The sequence below is a fragment of the Homo sapiens genome, chromosome 10 (genome assembly GCF_000001405.40).
Source record: "Homo sapiens chromosome 10, GRCh38.p14 Primary Assembly".
Taxonomy (NCBI): Eukaryota; Metazoa; Chordata; class Mammalia; order Primates; family Hominidae; genus Homo; species Homo sapiens.
Genome location: NC_000010.11, coordinates 30,284,510 through 30,287,409, shown reverse-complemented (window position 1 = coordinate 30,287,409; position 2,900 = coordinate 30,284,510). Strand labels below are relative to the sequence as shown.

Genomic DNA, 2,900 nt, shown 5'->3' with positions numbered 1-2,900 from the left:
TCCCTGTGTGCCCACTGTCTCCTGATTGGTTCTTTCTGAATAACGTCTTTTTGCCAATCAGATGTTGCCTTTTCCAAAGCAATCTATGGCCTGCCCTACCCCTCATCCTGTGCCTACAAAGACCCCAGGCTCAGCCTGTAGAGAGGAGAAGCAGCTGGACACTGGGAAGAGGCACCTTGACTTCAGAGACAGCAGCTGGATGTCAAACAGAGGCTTTCAAGGGAGAGCAACCTGCCCTTCCCATCTCCTTTCCAGCTCCCCTTTCGGCTGAGATCTGCTTTCATTGATCAATAAAATTATCCTCATCCACCATCCTTCAATTCGTTCATGTGACCTCATTCTTCTTGGGCACCAAACAAGGATTCAGTATGCACCAAGGGCTGATACCCAAAAAGGCTGTCAACACTGGTCCCTTTCCCTCACTGGCAGAGGGCAGCTGCCCCATACGATGAGGCAAAGGGCCCACTGAGCTGATAACACACTGCTGTCTGTGGACAGTGGAGCTAAGAGAGCATTGTAACACGCCCTCTGGGGCTCTGGGGTCACAGGCACCCCCACCTAGACACTGCTGCGGGGCCTGCCTGGAGTTTGCTCCTGCTGGCACCAAAGCAGCCAGCTGGTTCCTGCACTCACTTGCCTACATGCTCCCTCCTGTGAGGGGTGGAGCATGGCAGACCTGAAGGAATGGAGCAGCCAGCCGGTTCCTCCATTCATTTGCTTGTGTGCTCCCTCCTACAAGGGGTTAAGCGGGGTGGGCTGAGTAAACAGGGCACCCCTGTCACGAGTCCCACGAAACAGTCAAGAAAATAATCCTGCATCAATTTGACTCCTCGTCCTCCCCTAATGGTTTGCAGTCTTTCCTATGTCATAATAAAGCTACATTTTATTCTGGAAAAAAATTTGCTCTACAAGTTTAGAGACTTGCTGCATTTTGTTCGCTGCCAATTCCTTAGGACTTAGAACAGTTTCTTGCAAATTATAGGGGCTCTTATTTAATTTCATAAAAGGAAGGACATTCCTCCCTGCAAAAGATAAAGAAGATGATTTCAGAAAAATATAACAGATCTTTTCTAAGAAAGAAAACTTGACAGCTTTATACTGATTTTTTACAAAAACTGTGATTACTAGAAAAGATATTGCACACTATTACATTATGGGTTGTGTTAAGATGAGATTTTTCCTTGACTTTGACCCCCTTCGTGGAACTGGAGTGACTCATTTCACTCAGCCTGCAGCCTGCAGTCTGTGGATGGCTAAGTGTTAACAGCTCAGTAAAAGGTTAGGGTGACAGCCTTCTGCACCTGCTCTTTTTGACACCCGAGTTGTTGTTCAATATTCTGGGAGAATCAGGTCACATGAACTGTTTGAAAGATGATTGGTGCAGAAGACTATTGAGCAGTGCAAGTGGCTCTCGGTGGAAGGGGAGCTGGAAAGGGGATCGAGTGGGAAGAAGGTGATCTTTCCCTGAAGCCCAGCCTGTCTCCAGCCAGGCTCCCCTCTGAAGCCGCACCGTCTGAAGTTAGCTGCGTTTATCCATATTCTACAGTACGCAGTTGCTGCTTCTCTGCTCACCACTCAGCTGCTTGTATCCCCGACAGTCAGCAGCTTTTGTATGTGTGTGTTTTTTTTCCCTCTACCAGCTGAAGTCTGGTTTTTTGTGGGCACAGGATAGGGGGCGGGGTGGGCCAAAAAGGAAATCATTTGGGTGGAAAAATGGGGTTGGCTGTTTTCACTTAGGGCCAAGGTTCCAGGCTTCAGGATAGAGTTTAGCCAGGAGCCCAGCCCTTCTTGGATCAGTGCAATTATTTGTCCCTTAGATACATGTCTTTAAATTAGGAGTCTGTATTCAACATTACAAGAGAAGTGAAACTCAAATGTCCAGCTTGTACAAGTACTTCATTTTCAGTGGTGTACCGAAAATGGAAGCAACACTCACTGCTCTTTCACTCAATTTGAGATAGTTCCCCAAGATACCAAGCAGATACCTAGCAGAGCCCAGGAAAACCAGCCCTCACCACCCCTCCAGAGCTGAGGGCTGGGAGCTGCCCTCATGCATGAGTAATGACTAAGTGTGGGAGGGCCCTGCCATCCCTTTCCAGCCTTCAGTGGCCAAACCCTGGGACTGTTCTTTCTCTCATTCCTTTGCAGGGAAGACAAGGGAAAATGTATATAATCCTTCTGAGACATGAAGATCCCAGGATGGTACGTCTTTCCCCATCTCAACAGGGAAACAGTGGTTTCCTTAATCTTTGAACAAAGAAGAAACTTCCTATTTCATCTCTAAGAGCAGAAAGTGGAACAGATGATAAGCTGTTTGTGAAGGGTTCCATCCTCTGAAGGGTGTGAATATCTTCATGTCAACAGGAAACCCAGGGCCCTTGTGTAACTCTGAAAAGAAGAAATGTGCCTTCTACTCCTGATTAAGTCAGGTTCATCATAAATAGAGGAGCTGGGCATTTCTTGGTGGCTGGATAATCTTTTCCTCTAGGTGCCATCCTGGGGAAATAGATTATTAAATAATCTATCTCTTCTCAAAACCTAGGAAACTTAAAGAAGAGTTAAGTCAATTTACCTCACAAAAGGGAAAATCAGGCCAGAGAGTTCTTTTCACCATGTTTATATGAGTTTCTGAAAATAGCAATACAAAGACTACAACCTCACTTAAAATTTCAAACAACGTAGGATTAAAATGTAGACAGCTCCCAATTTTACATTATCCATTTCACTCCTGAAGGGCAAATGCTATATGCAGTTTGGGATGGGACCTTCGAGACATTTGCTATGTATACACCACACACACACACACACACACACACACACACACACACACACACACACACAATGATTTCCTCCATTCTATGACGCCATCAAATGTAAAGCCCAGGAGTGAACTGGTGCCA

General features: G+C 46.1%; 1 annotated feature.

Moving 5' to 3' along the window:
• Window positions 2,198-2,277: an enhancer, noted in NCBI's record as "active region_3203". NCBI's record gives its function as "activates an Ori minimal core promoter by ATAC-STARR-seq in GM12878 lymphoblastoid cells {active_cell/tissue: GM12878}" and the evidence as "EXISTENCE:reporter gene assay evidence [ECO:0000049][PMID:35858748]".